Source organism: Homo sapiens, chromosome 2, assembly GCF_000001405.40.
Source record: "Homo sapiens chromosome 2, GRCh38.p14 Primary Assembly".
Classification (NCBI taxonomy): domain Eukaryota; kingdom Metazoa; phylum Chordata; class Mammalia; order Primates; family Hominidae; genus Homo; species Homo sapiens.
The window spans coordinates 167,836,760-167,854,646 of record NC_000002.12 but is presented as its reverse complement, the minus strand read 5'-3'; the positions used below and the strand labels follow the sequence as shown (position 1 = coordinate 167,854,646).

The 17,887-nt window shown below is 39.2% G+C and overlaps 1 protein-coding gene and 1 long non-coding RNA gene across 6 annotated transcripts in view, besides 1 other annotated feature; one reads left to right on the top strand and one right to left on the bottom strand.

Annotated features, from left to right (window-relative positions):
* Nucleotides 1-17,887, bottom strand: part of B3GALT1 (beta-1,3-galactosyltransferase 1) — a 581,045-nt gene that overhangs the window by 19,399 nt on the left and 543,759 nt on the right. The window lies entirely within an intron of this gene.
* B3GALT1-AS1 (B3GALT1 antisense RNA 1) overlaps nucleotides 1-17,887 on the top strand; it is a 126,371-nt gene that overhangs the window by 86,498 nt on the left and 21,986 nt on the right. The gene's annotated exons all lie outside the window — the stretch shown is intronic.
* Nucleotides 9,533-10,500: an enhancer, noted in NCBI's record as "NANOG-H3K27ac-H3K4me1 hESC enhancer chr2:168700657-168701624 (GRCh37/hg19 assembly coordinates)". NCBI's record gives its function as "activates a minimal SCP1, AML or CMV promoter by ChIP-STARR-seq in naive and primed H9 embryonic stem cells {active_cell/tissue: H9 hESC(naive and primed)}" and the evidence as "EXISTENCE:reporter gene assay evidence [ECO:0000049][PMID:30033119]".

The window sequence follows — 17,887 nt, the reverse complement described above, 5'->3', positions numbered from 1 at the left end:
ACCCATCAGATACCTCTGGGCAAGACATAGATGGAGAAGTGAGCAGCATGAGATGGCAGCTGTTTTCTGGTTATTTGGATGTTCCAGAAAACACATGGAGTGACAAAGGTCCCTGGTTCTACTGAAGCAGCTATGATAGAATTTGTAGCCTCCAAATGTGAACATCACAGTTGTGAGTAAAGGCAATAGAAGCAATAACGTGTCCACTAAAACAAGTCCAAAGAATTATCAGGTACTTTTTGGGCTGCATTGTTCATGGCCATGTTGTTCTGGCTGGTTAGTTAATAAATCCAGGTCAAGCCCTTCAAGAGAGTCCATGAGCTCCTTGACACTTATTTGATAAGTCCCTTTCTCCTTAGCCTGGTTGAATAGATTCCCCTGTTTACAACCCTTAGCCACACACCATTGTCTCTATTTCTTTAAGTATAAAATGAGATGAAGATAATCTAATTTACAGGCTGGCTGTGAGGTAAATCATAAACTTTATATGGTACAGAGTTTAATTTTGGCTATTATTAATTGCTGGTCATTTTGGCATTGTCCAAGAGAAATATCAACCACCATAAACTAAATAAATCAATCCCTACTGTGCTCATCCTGGAAAATGCTACTTAGCATTGCCCATGTGAGGAGCAGCACTTTGAATTGAAGATGATATCTGAAAACCCTATTTCTCTTTTCATGTTGTCTAAAAATGGCATGTGTCTTTTGACTGGATGTCACATGGCCCTCTTGTGAACTTGTCCTGGATGACAACTGATTATCTCTCTCAGGGAACACTTGCACGCCCTCCCCCTAGGTGAATTAACTGAAAACCACAGAATCTTCATTTTAAAGTAGGCCACCATAAATGTACTCTCAAAAATTGCTGAGAATTTACTTAGTTCATTTATTGTGATGTGTTAATTTTTATTTATAATTACATGTGCCAACATACATGTGCCTGTTGGTGAGTCTGGAGACATGCTGACAACTTGTTATTCTTTTTCCATTTTTTGGTACTGAAAACCACTATGCTTTTGTTTGCATTTATTAATTCATCATATTTGATAATCCCACTATTAACATTTATTAACATTATAATAAATATACAAATGAAAATGCAAATTTCCTACCTTTAAGGAGCTTCAAGTTATATTAACTATAATCTATATGGGAAAAAATAAGGAATCATGAATGGTACCACTTGTATGATACTACAATTGAAATAGTTAATTATTGATAAGGATAATTGGGTTAGATCCATGGAAGAGACAATATTTGACGTGGTTCTCAAATTAAAAAAATAGAGAACTCTCAATAGGAGAAAAATTGATTGTGGGGGAGAGACATTCAATGCTAAGTTAAGAACATTTGCAGAGACACAAAGGTGTTAAATTATTTGATTTATTTCTAGAGTAGGGAGCTGTCCAGTATGAGAGAATGCTGGATTCATGGTAGAATAAAGTTGAAACTGAGAATGCGAAGGGAGGTTTTGATCATCTGAATATTTTTTCCTCCACCATACCTACATCATTTTTTCCTTCAGTAATCCTTTGTAGCTTTACAATTGATTGTATTTTAGGTTGGTTGTTTCCTTACCTCAAATGGGAAAATAACTCAATCAATAGGTTAATTTTTCAATTGCTTTGAACTGTGACTCTTTGATAAACTTTAACCTCTGTAAGGGCAAAGATTTAATCTGGTTTTATCATTATTTTTGTCACTCTCATTACTATTTCTATCTTTATCATTTTTGCCTCAGCATACTAGCACAGTGCAAGAAGCATTGTTGAGGAAGAAATAATCTGAGTAAATGGCTTCCAGATAGCCATAAACAGTAATTCGTCATCCAGTATTAGCTTCAACAAGAGTCCTTTGCTGAGATATCATAGAAAAGTGGACTATATTCTAGAGTAAGTTTTTATGTGATGTGCTGGAAAGGTGTATCAAAAGATGTTTTATATTCATATTTTGAGTATACAGTATCTTTCCCCATGCCTAGCCCTTTTCACTGTGCCATTCAAGGCAAATTTCTGCCTCTGATTTAGTTCTTGAACTCATATAACTTCATTATGTTTCTAGATTAAAAATAAATTTTCCGATAAAATAAAAGTTCCTGTGTTTAGGAAAATAATCCTAGTGGAAGATGATAAGCACGTACACACACACACACACACACACACACACACACACACACCATCACGAATAAAAGAGACAGTTGGGAAACCTAATACAAAATCTGAATCTTTTCTGTGATGAATGGTTGTCAACTGCCAAATCCTTGAATTATTCTTTCCGAAATGTCTTTCTGAGCTGATTTTTAATAAATTTCTGATTTGCTGTTGTGGTAGGTCATTTGTGATTATATCCGTCTTATCCAGTAAGAGCAGTAATGTGTAAATTGTGTCTCTAAGAAGTGATAAAGTGGTGCAAATGGTGCTTTTCACCTCGGGTGACCATAGCCACAGTCACTATTTGCAATAGCTGCTGTGCTGTGTTCTCTGAAATTTCCTAACAAGATGCTTCAACTCATGTCACACCCAAGCTACTGATAAGAATATATATATTGAAAAGTTTGAAGACAACATAACTTCACTGCCAAAATTGCCCTTCCAAGAAGTTATCAGCAGAGCTATTGGTAAGTTGGTTTTAAAATGCTTGAAAATTCTTTACATAGGCTGTTTACTGCCAGATTGAAGAGAATAAATTGCATTTTTGGGTAATAGGAGCAGGGTGAAGAATAACCCTCCAGCAACTGGAAAGTTTTCAAGGCATGATGCACAACAGCAATAATGTGCTCCGTGTCTCCCCAGGCACATGTCAGTCTCAGAAGACTAGTAGAGAAGTGCCAATGCTTCTGGTTCCCCCAGGAACTCTAGGCGATGGTTCCTGGAACAATTGTCAGAAATCAGGATTATTATTTATCTTCTACTTGGGCTGGAGAGCTAAGCACATAAGTAAATGCTCAATAGAAGTAAAATATTCATGGAGTTCTGAAAGAAGTTTTTCTAATGCTGGCTTACAGCCAGAGTGTATTCCAATAGCCTTATTATTTTGGGTAGTGAGGTGCTAATGGGTAGAAACGAGTTAAACAATGTTCATCAGATTTATTTATGGAAAGACTGCTTAGAGTCTTTAATATGATCCATTCCTTTGAGAAACTCAAGACGGAGACATAACATGGCTCACAGATTTTTGTTTTTACTCACAGCTTCTTGAGAAGACAGTTTGGGGTGTCAGGCCTTAGTGGACAGTTAAGATGTTCTGTGACTTCCCTTTTGGAATTGTAAATGACTATCATCACTTTTTTGTTATTGTGTTTTTTGCTTTTTAAACGAGTTCTAATAAAAGGTAGGGCTGGTTATCACCTTTTGGTTTGCCTTATGGGGTAAACCTAATCACATGTATTTTTTTTAATTCTTGTAAATTTAGTAGCTTATTATTCTTGATTTTTTTAACCTCTAACAGTGTATTTGACGACTTTATTGCCTTTGAGAAAGCTTTTGTTTTAGTATTACAAAAATGATGCATGTTCAAAAACAGAAAATCTAAAGGATAAAAACAAATAAAAAGAAGAAAATAAAAATCACCCATAATCCTATCAAGTATATATAGGCACTATTGACAAGTAGATGTAGATAATTTGCTTTTTTTGTATCTTATATATTTTCATTTATTTATTTTTGTATTTATTATTTTTCCATAAGTTATTGGGGCACAGGTGGTATTTGGATACAGGAGAAAGTTCTTTAGTGGTGATTTGTGAGATTTTGGCGCACCCATCACCCAAGCAATATACACTGCACCATATTTGTAGTCTTTTATCCCTCGGCCCCCTCCCACTCTTCCCCCCAAGTCCCCAAAGTCCATTGTATCATTCTTATGCCTTTACATCCTTATAGCTTAGCTCCCACGTATCAGTGAGCACACACGACGTTTGGTTTTCCATTCCTGAGTTATTTCACTTAGAATAATAGTCTCCAATATCAGTTTCTTTATCCATTCCTTGATTGATGGGCATTTGGGTTGGTTCCACAATCTTGCAATTGTGAATTATGCTGCTATGAACATGCGTGTGCAAGTATCTTTTTCATATAACTTCTTTTCCTCTGGGTAGATATCCAGTAGTAGAATTGCTGGATCAAATGGTAGTTCTACTTTTAGTTCTTCAAGGAACCTCCACTCTGTTTTCCATCGTGGCCATATTAGTTTACATTCCCACCAGCAGTGTAGAAGTGTTCCCTGATCACAGCATCCATGCCAACATCTACTGTTTTTTGATTTTTTGATTATGGCCATTTTTGCAGAGGTAAGGTAGTATGACATTGTGGTTCTGATTTGCATTTCCCTGATCATTAGTGATGTTGAGCATTTTTTCATATGCTTGTTGGCCATTTGGATATCCTCTTTTGAGAACTGTCTATGCATGTCCTAAGCCCACTTTTTGTGGGATTGTTTGTTTTTGACTTACTGATTTGTTTGAGTTTGTCGTAGATTCTGGATATTAGTCCTTTGTCAGATGTACAGATTGTGAAGATTTTCTCCCACCCTGTGGGTTGTCAGTTTACTCTGCTGACTGTTTCTTTTGCTGTGCAAAAGCTCTTTAGTTTAATTAGGTCCCAGTGATTTATCTTTGTTTTTATTGAATTTGCTTTTGGGTTCTTGGTTATGAAATCCTTGCCTAAGCCAATGTTTAGAAGAGTTTTTCCAATGTTATCTTCAGAATTGTTGCAGTTTCAGGTCTTAGGTTTAAGTCCTTTTTTTTTTTTTTTTTTGAGACAGAGTCTCGCTCTTTTCCCGGGGCTGGAGTGCAGTGGCGCGATCTCGGCTCACTGCAAGCTCCGCCTCCCGGGTTCACGCCATTCTCCTGCCTCAGCCTCCCGAGTAGCTGGGACTACAGGCGCCTGCCACCACACCTGGCTAATTTTTTTTGTATTTTTTAGTAGAGACAGGGTTTCACTGTGTTAGCCAGGATGGTCTCGATCTCCTGACCTTGTGATCCACCCGCCTCGGCCTCCCAAAGTGCTGGGATTACAGGCTTGAGCCACCGCGCCCGGCCAGGTTTAAGTCCTTAATCCATCTTGAGCTGATTTTTGTATAAGGTGAGAGATGAGTATCCAGTTTTGTTTTCCTACATGTGGCTTGCCAATTATCCCAGCACCATTTGTTGAAAAGGGTGTCCTTTCCTCACTTCATATTTTTGTTTGCTTTGTTGAAGATCAGTTGGCTGTAAGTATTTGGGTGTATTTCTGGGTTGTCTATTCTGTTCCATCGGTCTATGTGCCTATTTTTATACCAGCACCATGCTGTTTTGGTGACTATGGCCTTATAGTATAGTTTAAAATCAGGTCGTGTGATGCCTCCAGATTTGTTCTTTTTGCTTAGTCTTGCTTTGACTATGCAGGCTCATCTTTTGTTCCATATGAATTTTAGAATTGTTTTTCCTAATTCTATGAAGAATGATGGTGGTATTTTGATGGGGATTCTATTGAATTTGTAGATTGCTTTTGTCAGTATGATCATTTTCACAATATTGATTCTACCCATCCATGATCATGAGATATGTTTCCGTTTGTTTGTGTTGTCTGTGATTTCTTTCAGCAGTGTCTCATAGTTTTCCCTGCAGAGGTCTTCTGACTCCTTGGTTAGGTGTATTCCTAAGTATTTTATTTTTTTTGCAGCTATTGTAAAGGGGTTGAGTTCTTGATTTGATTCTCCACTTGGTTGCTGTTGGTGTATGGAAGAGCTACTGATTCTTGTATCCAGAATCTTTGCTGAATTCTTTCATCAGTTCTAGGAGCTTTCTGGAGGAGTCGTTAGGGTTTTCAAGGTAAACAATCATATCATCAGCAAACAATGACAGTTTGACTTCCTCTTTACCAATTTGGATGCCCTTCATTTCTTTCTTTTGTCTGATTGCTCTGGCTAGGACTTCCAGTACCATGTTGAAGAGGAGTGGTAAGAGTGGGCATCTTTGTCTTGTTCCAGTTCTCAGAGGGAATGCTTTCAACTTTTCCCCATTCAGTATTATGTTGGCGGTGGGTTTGTCATAGATGGCTTTTATTACATTGAGGTATGTCCCTTATATGCTGATTTTGCTGAGAGTTTTAATCATAAAGAGATGCTGGATTTTGTCAAATGCTTTTTCTGCATCTATTGAGATCATCATGTGAATTTTGTTTTTAATTCTGTTCATGTGGTGTATCACATTTGTTGACTTGCATATGTTAAACCATTCCTGCATCCCCAGTATGAAACCCACTTGATCATGGCGGATTATCTTTTTTGATATATTGTTGGATTTGGTTAGCTAGTATTTTGTTAAGGATTTTAGAATCTATGTTCATGAAGGATATAGGTCTGTAGTTTTCTTTTTTTGGTTATGTCCGTTCCTGGTTTTGGTATTAGGGTGATGCTCGCTTCACAGAATGAATTAGGGAGGGTTCCTTCTGTCTATATCTTGTGCAATAGTGTCAAAAGGATTGGTACCAATTCTGTTTTGAATGTCTGGTAGAATTCTGCTCGGAATCTATTTGGTCCTGGACCTTTTTTTTGTTGGTAATATTTAAATTACCATTTTAATTTCGCTGCTTGTTATTGTTCTGTTCAGGGTATCTAATTCTTCCTGATTTAAGCTAGGAGGGTTGTATTTTTCCAGGAATTTATCCATCTCTTCTAGGTTTTCTAGTTCATGTATGCAAAGGTGTTCATAGTAGCCTTGAATAATCTTTTGTATTTCGGTGGTGTCAGTTGTATTATGTCCTGTTTTGTTTCTTAGTGAGGTTATCTGGATTTTCTCTCTTCTTTTCTTGGTTAATCTTGTTAATAGTCTATCAATTTTATCTTTTGAAAGAACCAGCTTTTTGTTTCATTTATTTTTTGTATTTTTTGTTTGTTTGTTTCAATTTCACTTAGTTCTGCTCTGAATGTGGTTATTTCCTTTCTTCTGATGGGTTTGGGTTTGGTTTGTTCTTGTTTCTCTAGTTCCTTGAGGTGTGACCTTAGAATGTCAGTTTGTGCTCTTTCAGTCTTTTTGATGTGTAGGCGTTTAGGGCTATGAACTTTCCTCTTAGCACCGTTTTTGCTGTATTCCAGAGGCTTTGGTAGGTTGTGTCATTATTGTCATTCAGTCTGAAGAATTTTTAAATTTCTGTCTTGATTTCATTTTTGACTCAGTGCTCATTCAGGAGCAGGTTATTTAATTTCCATGTATTTGCACAGTTTTGAAGGTTCCTTTTGGAGTTGATTTCCAGTTTTATTCCTCTGTGGTCTGAGAGAGTGCTTGATATAATTTCAACTTTCTTAAGTTTATTGAGACTTGTTGTATGGCCTATCATATGACCTATCTTGGAGAAAGTTCCATGTGCCATTGAATAGAATGTGTATTCTGTGGTTGTTGGATGAAATGTTGTTTTTGTTCCAAGGTATAGTTTAAATCCATTGTTTCTTTGCTGACTTTCTGTCTTGATGACCTGTCTAGTGCTGTCAGTGGAGTATTGAAATCCCCCATGATTATTGTGTTGCTGTCTATCTCATTTCTTAGGTCTACTAGTAATTGTTTTATAAATCTGGGAGCTCCAGTAATAGGTGCATATATGTTTAGGATTGTGATATTTTGCTGTTGGACAAGGCTTTTACCCTTATATAGTGTCTCTCTTTGTCTCTTTTAACTGCTGTTGCTTTAATGTTTGTTTTGTCTGATATAAGAATAGCTAGTCCTGCTCATTTTTGGTGTCCATTTGCATGAAACGCCTTTTTCCACACCTTTACTTTATGTGAGTCCTTATGGGCTACGTGAGTCTCCTGAAGACAGCAGATGGTTAGTTGGTGAGTTCTTATCCATTCTGTGGTTCTGTATCTTTTAAGTGGAGGATTTAGGCCATTTACATTCAATGTTAGTATTGAAATGTGAGGCACCGTTGCATTTATTGTGCTGTTTGTTGCCTGTGTACTTTTTTTTGTTTTTGCTTTTTAAATTATATTTTTGTTTTATAGGTCCTGTGTGATTTATGGTTTAAAGAGGTTCTGTTTTGATGTGTTTACAGGATTTGTTTCAAGAAACAGAGCTTCTTTTAGCAGTTCTGGTAGTGGTGGCTTGGTAGTGGTGAATTCTATCATTTGTTTGTCTGAAAAAGACTATCTATCTTTCCTTCATATATGATGCTTAGTTTCGCTAGATACAAAATCCTTGGCTGATAATTGTTTTGTTTGAGGAGGCTGAAGATAGGGCCCCAATCCCTTCTAGCTTGTAGGGTTTCTGCTGAGAAATCTGCTGTTATTCTGATAGGTTTTCCTTTATAGGTTACCTGGTGCTTCTGTCTCACATTTCTTAACATTCTTTCCTTTGTCTTCTCTTTAGGTAACCTGATGACAATGTGCCTAGGTGACGATCTTTCTGCGATCAATTTCCAGGAGTTCTTTGCTTCTTGTATTTGGGTGTCTAGGTCTCTAGCAAGGCAGGGAAGTTTTCCTCGATTTTTCTCCCAAACATGGTTTCCAAGCTTTTAGAATTCTCTTCTTCCTCAGGAACACGGATTATTCTTAGGTTTGGTCATTTAACATAATCCCAGACTTCTTGGAGACTTTGTTCATATTTTCTTTTTCTTTTTTCTTTGACTTTGTTGGATTGGGTTAATTCAAAGACCTTGTTTTTGAGCTCTGAATTTTTCTTCTACTTGTTCAATTCTATTGGTGACACTTTCCAGAGCATTTTGCATTCTATAATTGTATCCAATGTTTCCTGATTTTTGTTTTTTGTTTTTTTGTTTAAGCTATTTCCTTGAATATTTCTCCTCTCACTTCTTTTATTGTTTTTTGATTTCCTTGCATTGAGCTTTGCCTTTCTCTGGTGCCTCCCTAGTTAACCTCCTGAATGCTTTTTCAGGTAAATCAGGGATTTCTTCTTGGTTTGGATCCATTGCTGGTGAACAAGTGTGATTTTGTTGTTGCGGGGGGGTGGGGGCGCGGTGTTAAAGAGCCTTGTTTTGTCATATTACCAGGATTACTTTTCTGGTTCCTTCTCATTTGGGAAGGCTCTGTCAGAGGGAAGATCTAGGGCTGAAGGCTGTTGTTCAGATTCTTTTGTCCCACAGGATGTTCCCTTGATGTAGTACTCCCCGCTTTTCCTAAGCATGTGGCTTCCTGCAAGCCAAAATGCAGTGAATATTGTCTCTCTTCTGGGTCTAGCCACTCCGTAAGTAAGTCTACCTGACTACAGGCTGGTACTGGGTGTTGTCTGCACAGAGTCCTGTGATATGAATCGTCTATGGGCCTTCCAGACGTGGATACCAGCACCTGTTCTGGTGGAGGTGGTTGGGGGGTGCAATGGACTCTGTGACGGTTCTTAGCTTTGGTGGTTTAATGCTTTGTTTTTGTGCTGCTTGGACTTCTGCCAGGAGGTGGCGCTTTCCAGAGAGCACCAGCTGTGGTAGTATGGAGAGGAACTGGTGGTGGGTGGGGCCCTAGAACTCCCAAGATTATATGCTCTTTGTCTTCAGCTACCAGGGTGGGTAGGGAAGGAGCATCAGGTGGGGGCAGTGGGAGGCGTGTCTGAACTCAGACTCTCCTTGGGCAGGTGTTGCTGCAGCTGCTGTGGGGGATGGGGGTGAGATTCCCAGGTCATTGGAGTTGTCTACCTAAGAGGATTATGGCTGTCTCTGCTGAGTCATGCAGGTTGTCAGGGAAGTGGGGCAAAGCCGGCAGTCACAGGCTTTGCCCAGCTCTCATGCAAACCAAAGGGCCAGTCACACTCCCACTGTGCCCCCTAACAGCCCCCAGTCTGTTTCCAGGCAGAGGGCAAGCCAGGCTTGAAAACCTGCCCCAGGCTACCTGCCTCCCAGCTGGGAAAGAACAAGGCTTGGTTCTTTTCCTGCCTGTGGAGTCTGCACACTGGATTTGCGCCCTCCCCTGAGTTCTGGCCAGGAGGCTTCTCGCCCCATTCAAATTGTTATACAGTTCAGCTAGAGATTTCTTTCTTTCTGTGGAGTTTTACCTCCTGCTCCTCCGGCTGCCCTCTCGACGGATCCTTGTGGTGCCCAGCAGGAAGGGCCTGTTTGGGGACCCAGCGAGCTCCCAAGGCCTTTCTGCTGCTTCCTCTACCCCTGTATTTCGCTAGGCTCTCTAAATTGACTCTGCTCCAGGTAAGGTCTGAAGCTTCTCCTGCAAACAGACCTTTAGTTTCTCCAGTAGGGGTGTGTGTTTGGGAGAGGAGGGTCTCCCTTTCCCACTACCGCAGTTGGGGCACTCATAGTACTTGGGATGTCTCCCGAGTCCTGCAGGAGCAGTCCGCTTCCTTCAGAGGGTCTGTGGGTCCTCTCGGGATTTCTGGTTTGTTCTTGCAGTCGATCTGGAGCTAAAATTCATAATGCGAGTCTCTGCATGCTGCTCTGTGTGGAGCTGCAATCCAGTCCTGCCTCCCGTCCACCATGATGATCCTTGCCTCCTCTTACATATTTTCATTTATTAATATGGGATCATGTAGTCTGCAGATTTTCATGTGCTTTTCCCCCACTTAGCAAGCATCATCAACACTTTTGCATTTGACTATGTACTCTTGTGCCATTCATTTTCAATGACTGCCATATTCCAATCATGTAAGCATCTCTCCACTGTTATTAGATATTTCGTCTAATAGGCTTCCTATTCTTCCCACATTTACTCTGTGAGCATTCTCAGAGAATCCAGTGATATGAATATAGGGACAGATGACATTGTTCTTGGTTCTATAAAGCCTTGTCCTAGAAACTTCACATGCCTCAGTTTTGGTGTCAGAGAACAAAGGCACTAACAATGATCTGCTGTCTGGAGTCCTCAGATCATACTCATAGTGCCACTGAAAGTCATAACTTCCCAACCTGGCTCATCATTCTGCAACTACAACTTATTCCCAGGCCACTAATATTTCAGAGGAACAATACAGGCAATTGAAACCTGCAATTTATGGGTCAAGTACACAGAACGGCACTAAGTCAACCCTTCTGATGTTAGGATGACAATAGTATGTGATCTGGGGTCTTTAGGGTGGCAGCATAAGACAGTACCATGTTTGGTTTGAAGTCTTCCTGGTTATTTATCTCAGAGCTTGTCCAGGAATGACAAAGACACATCACTTCTATCCTAGGTAGTGTCTCCAGCACCATAGCGGCAGTTATTAAGAGGCTGAAATCAGCAATCCTGGCAGTCTGTCTGATTAGCCAATAGAATAATGATTTGACCTGACTGCCAAGCACTGAGGATTCCTATCTGGGGATTCACCACAGAGGTCCTTCTGGGCATCTGGTCAAGTGTGGCATGATGGAGTCTGACAGGCTGGATTGCCCTGGTCTAAATGGAGCTCTACTCCAGGTATGTTATCTTGATTTCCTTTCATCTTACTTTCCTGAACTGTGAAGTATCTTGAAATAATCTTTCATATAAAGGCAGTCAAATTAGACTAAAAATACATCAGCTTTCTCTAAGTGTCAAATGTTTACGAAAATTTACAGCTGCAAACTTTTACTTTTTACTTATCAGGATTTTTAATTTTGTCAGTAATTTTGAAGACCATTTGTTAAGGGACTTATTCCAGGAGGCAGTATTGTGAATTGCTAAAACTACAGACCATGTGGTCAGGCATCCTGGGTTCAAATCCTGCCATTTACTAGCTGTATCACTGCTCCGCAATCATTTCTTCAGCTTCAACATGAGAAAAGTGTGCCTATTTCAGGTTCATGAAAATGAAAGAAATAAATGTCAGAAAGGCACTTAATGCCAGCCTTGGAACACAATAGTGCTTAATACATATTATTATTATTATTATTGATTCAGGGTCTGTTGTGCAGGCTGGAATACAGTGGCATGATCCTACTCACTGCAACCTCCACCTCTTGGGCTCAAGTAATCCTCCCGCCTCAGCCTTCCAAGCAGTTGGGACTACAGGTGTGTGCCACCACACCCAGCTAATTTGATAGTTTTTTGTAGAGACGGAGTTTCGTCATGTTGCCCAGGCTGGTCTCAAATTCCTGAGCTCAAGTGATCCTCCTGCCTCAGCCTCTCAAAGTGCTGGGATTACAGGTGTGAGCCACTGCACCCAGCCAAATATTAATATTATTAATTTTAACATTTAAAGAAAATTATACATACAGTTAAATATTTAATACAACTTATTAGCAATCTAGGTGCTGTTATTACTATTGTCTTTACTAAGTGCAGGCGCTCCTGTCCTCTAAGGAGTTGAAGTCTAAACAGTAGTCACTTACGATTTATTTCAGTATACATTCTACAGAAACTGATGAAATAATGACATAGAAGTAAGTATGAAATGTGAAGATGCATTGCTCAGCTTGAACAGATGTGGGAAAGAATTGCTGGAGTCAAAAGGCACATGCAGTGGAGTTTTACTTGGCCAGGCAGCAGCATGGGTAACTGAAAGTTTGTGGTTGCTACTTCTCTCTAGGATTTTAAACTCAGGCTCAAATCTAAAGAACTGGAGAGACCTCATGTGTTTCTATTTTGCTTTGTTTTGACCATTGGCTTTTATTGTCTGGAAGATATGATAAAATAGGTCCCTACCATAATAGGTGAAAAGTAACTTTTGTAATAATATGTGTCTTTATATAGCCCAGTTCAGGGAATACATTTTAATTCATTTGGTCTTTTTCCAGCTTTATTAATATTTATGCTAAACCGCATTCTAATAAAGTGCTTAAAAACCTGGATGAAGTCAAGTTAATAGGTAATAGTGTTGAAGTAAAAACAAGCAAAAAATTTTATTATTTTAAAGGAAGCACATTATTGTATGAAAAGTTACTTAAATATAGTCTTTCTATCATTATTTCCTATGGTTAACCTTATTTTCCCCTTTCCCTGAAATATTCATTTGGCAAATATAGAATCTGAAAAGCTATATTCACTGTAACCATTCTGATTTCTAGTATCTTGGTTAGGGCATTTTACTTTCCTAATTAGGAGCATGGCTCAGTGGCTTCTGGCTAAAAGAAAAAACAAAACAGCCTGGAACGTGCTCCTTACTCTCTTAGGAGAAGGGGGAGGCTGGAAGGGGCCTTCTGTCCTCATTAGGTGGTTGATACATTTCATTTGTATATTTCACAGATGCTGCTCAGGCAAGTGTGGTCACATCATTGCAGCCAGGTTTGCTAACTGGAGAATGTGAAAGAGTATACACATAATCTCAGTATCTCTGGAGAATTTGTGAAATAGGAGGTTTAATCCCATTGTCTTTATTGGCCCAAAGGCACAGAAAGGCACCAACCCAAATTTTCGGTCTCCATTTAGACCCTGAGGTGGTCACAATGATTAAATGTCAGATCTGAGGAACCAGAAAGTCCACCTTCCTGTTGTAAGGCTAAGCATGTTGTGCTGACCTGTATTGTGCTCTAACACCCTGGGGCAGGAGATGGCTCTTGAATGGCTTTTCAAAAAGGCTTTTCTTTTTTTTTTTTTTCTTTGTGGTGAAGGCATATTTTTATTTTTACTTATTTATTTATTTATTATTATACTTTAAGTTTTAGGGTACATGTGCACAATGTGCAGGTTAGTTACATATGTATACATGTGCCATGCTGGTGCCCTGCACCTACTAACTCATCATCTAGCATTAGGTATATCTCCCAATGCTATCCCTCCCCCCTCCCCCCACCCCACAACAGTCCCCAGGGTATGATGTTCCCATTCCTGTGTCCATGTGTTCTCATTGTTCAATTCCCACCTATGAGTGAGAATATGCGGTGTTTGGTTTTTTGTTCTTCGATAGTTTACTGAGAATGATGATTTCCAATTTCATCCATGTCCCTACAAAGGACATGAACTCATCATTTTTTATGGCTGCATAGTATTCCATGGTGTATATGTGCCACATTTTCTTAATCCAGTCTATCATTGTTGGACATTTGGGTTGGTTCCAAGTCTTTGCTATTGTGAATAGTGCCGCAATAAACATACATGTGCATGTGTCTTTATAGCAGCATGATTTATAATCCTTTGGGTATATAGCCAGTAATGGGATGGCTGGGTCAAATGGTATTTCTAGTTCTAGATCCCTGAGGAATCGCCACACTGACTTCCACAATGGTTGAACTAGTTTACAGTCCCACCAACAGTGTAAAAGTGTTCCTATTTCTCCACATCCTCTCCAGCACCTGTTGTTTCCTGACTTTTTAATGATTGCCATTCTAACTGGTGTGAGATGATATCTCATTGTGGTTTTGATTTGCATTTCTCTGATGGCCAGTGATGGTGAGCATTTTTTCATGTGTTTTTTGGCTGCAAAAATGTCTTCTTTTGAGAAGTGTCTGTTCATGTCCTTTGCCCACTTTTTGATGGGGTTGTTTTTTTCTTGTAAATTTGTTTGAGTTCATTGTAGATTCTGGATATTAGCCCTTTGTCAGATGAGTAGGTGGCAAAAATTTTCTCCCATTTTGTGGGTTGCCTGTTCACTCTGATGGTAGTTTCTTTTGCTGTGCAGAAGCTCTTTAGTTTAATTAGATCCCATTTGTCAATTTTGGCTTTTGTTGCCATTGCTTTTGGTGTTTTAGACATGAAGTCCTTGCCCCTGCCTATGTCCTGAATGGTAATGCCTAGGTTTTCTTCTAGGGTTTTTATGGTTTTAGGTCTAACATTGAAGTCTTTAATCCATCTTGAATTGATTTTTGTATAAGGTGTAAGGAAGGGATCCAGTTTCAGCTTTCTACATATGGCTAGCCAGTTTTCCCAGCACCATTTATTAAATAGGGAATCCTTTCCCCATTGCTTGTTTTTCTCAGGTTTGTCAAAGATCAGATAGTTGCAGATATGCGGCGTTATTTCTGAGGGCTCTGTTCTGTTCCATTGATCTATATCTCTGTTTTGGTACCAGTACCATGCTGTTTTGGTTACTGTAGCCTTGTAGTATAGTTTGAAGTCAGGTAGTGTGATGCCTCCAGCTTTGTTCTTTTGGCTTAGGATTGACTTGACAAGGCGGGCTCTTTTTTGGTTCCATATGAACTTTAAAGTAGTTTTTTCCAATTCTGTGAAGAAAGTCATTGGTAGCTTGATGGGGATGGCATTGAATCTAAAAATTACCTTGGGCAGTATGGCCATTTTCATGATATTGATTCTTCCTATCCATGAGCATGGAATGTTCTTCCATTTGTTTGTATCCTCCTTTATTTCATTGAGCAGTGGTTTGTAGTTCTCCTTGAAGAGGTCCTTCACATCCCTTGTAAGTTGGATTCCTAGGTATTTTATTCTCTTTGAAGCAATTGTGAATGGAAGTTCACTCATGATTTGGCTCTCTGTTTGTCTGTTATTGGTGTATAAGAATGCTTGTGATTTTTGTACATTGATTTTGTATCCTGAGACTTTGCTGAAGTTGCTTATCAGCTTAAGGAGATTTTGGGCTGAGACAATGGGGTTTTCTAGATATACAATCATGTCATCTGCAAACAGGGACAATTTGACTTCCTCTTTTCCTAATTGAATACCCTTTATTTCCTTCTCCTGACTAATTGCCCTGGCCAGAACTTCCAACACTATGTTGAATAGGAGTGGTGAGAGAGGGCATCCCTGTCTTGTGCCAGTTTTCAAAGGGAATGCTTCCAGTTTTTGCCAATTCAGTATGATATTGGCTGTGGGTTTGTCATAGATAGCTCTTATTATTTTCAGATACGTCCCATCAATACCTAATTTATTGAGAGTTTTTAGCATGAAGGGTTGTTGAATTTTGTCAAAGGCATTTTCTGCATCTATTGAGATAATCACGTGGTTTTTGTCTTTGGTTCTGTTTATATGCTGGATTACATATATTGATTTGCGTATATTGAACCAGCCTTGCATCCCAGGGATGAAGCCCACTTGATCATGGTGGATAAGCTTTTTGATGTGCTGCTGGATTTGGTTTGCCAGTATTTTATTGAGGATTTTTGCATCAATGTTCATCAAGGATATTGGTCTAAAATTCTCCTTTTTGGTTGTGTCTCTGGCCGGCTTTGGTATCAGGATGATGCTGGCCTCATAAAATGAGTTAGGGAGGATTCCCTCTTTTTCTATTGATTGGAATAGTTTCAGAAGAAATGGTACCAGTTCCTCCTTGTACCTCTGGTAGAATTCGGCTGTGAATCCTTCTGGTCCTGGACTCTTTATGGTCGGTAAGCTATTGATTATTACCACAATTGCAGCTCCTGTTATTAGTCTATTCAGAGATTCAACTTCTTCCTGGTTTAGTCTTGGGAGAGTGTATGTGTTGAGGAATTTATCCATTTCTGCTAGATTTTCTAGTTTATTTCCGTAGAGGTGTTTGTAGTATTCTCTGATGGTAGTTTGTATTTCTGTGGGATCGGTGGTGATATCCCCTTTATCATTTTTTATTGCGTCTATTTGATTCTTCTCTCTTTTCTTCTTTATTAGTCTTGCTAGTGGTCTATCAATTTTGTTGATCTTTTCAAAAAACCAGCTCCTGGATTCATTAATTTTTTGAAGGGTTTTTTGTGTCTCTATTTCCTTCAGTTCTGCTCTGATTTTAGTTATTTCTTGCCTTCTGCTAGCTTTTGAATGTGTTTGCTCTTGCTTTTCTAGTTCTTTTAATTGTGATGTTAGGGTGTCAATTTTGGATCTTTCCTGCTTTCTCTTGTGGGCATTTAGTGCTATAAATTTCCCTCTACACACTGCTTTGAATGTGTCCCAGAGATTCTGGTATGTTGTGTCTTTGTTCTCATTGGTTTCAAAGAACATCTTTATGTCTGCCTTCATTTGTTATGTACCCAGTAGTCATTCAGGAGCAGGTTGTTCAGTTTCCATGTAGTTGAGCGGTTTTGAGTGAGTTTCTTAATCCTGAGTTCTAGTTTGATTGCACTGTGGTCTGAGAGAGAGTTTGTTATAATTTCTGTTCTTTTACATTTGCTGAGGAGAGCTTTACTTCCAACTATGTGGTCAATTTTGGAATAGGTGTGGTGTGGTGCTGAAAAAAATGTATATTCTGTTGATTTGGGGTGGAGAGTTCTGTAGATGTCTATTAGGTCCGCTTGGTGCAGAGCTGAGTTCAATTCCTGGGTATCCTTGTTGACTTTCTGTCTCGTTGATCTGTCTAATGTTGACAGTGGGATGTTAAAGTCTCCCATTATTAATGTGTGGGAGTCTAAGTCTCTTTGTAGGTCACTCAGGACTTGCTTTATGAATCTGGGTGCTCCTGTATTGGGTGCATATATATTTAGGATAGTTAGCTCTTCTTGTGGAATTGATCCCTTTACCATTATGTAATGGCCTTCTTTGTCTCTTTTGATCTTTGTTGGTTTAAAGTCTGTTTTATCAGAGACTAGATTGCAACCCCTGCCTTTTTTTGTTTTCCATTTGCTTGGTAGATCTTCCTCCATCCTTTTGTTTTGAGCCTATGTGTGTCTCTGCACGTGAGATGGGTTTCCTGAATACAGCACACTGATGGGTCTTGACTCTTTATCCAATTTTCCAGTCTGTGTCTTTTAATTGGAGCATTTAGTCTATTTACATTTAAAGTTAATATTGTTATGTGTGAATTTGATCCTGTCATTATGATGTTAGCTGGTTATTTTGCTCCTTAGTTGATGCAGTTTCTTCCTAGCCTCGATGGTCTTTACATTTTGGCATGATTTTGCAGCAGCTGTTACCGGTTGTTCCTTTCCATGTTTAGTTCTTCCTTCAGGAGCTCTTTTAGGGCAGGCCTGGTGGTGACAAAATCTCTCAGCATTTGCTTGTCTGTAAAGTATTTTATTTCTCCTTCACTTATGAAGCTTAGTTTGGCTGGATATGAAATTCTGGGTTGAAAATTCTTTTCTTTAAGAATGTTGAATATTGGCCCCCACTCTCTTCTGGCTTGTAGAGTTTCTCCCGAGAGATCCGCTGTTAGTCTGATGGGCTTCCCTTTGTGGGGTAACCCGCCCTTTCTCTCTGGCTGCCTTAA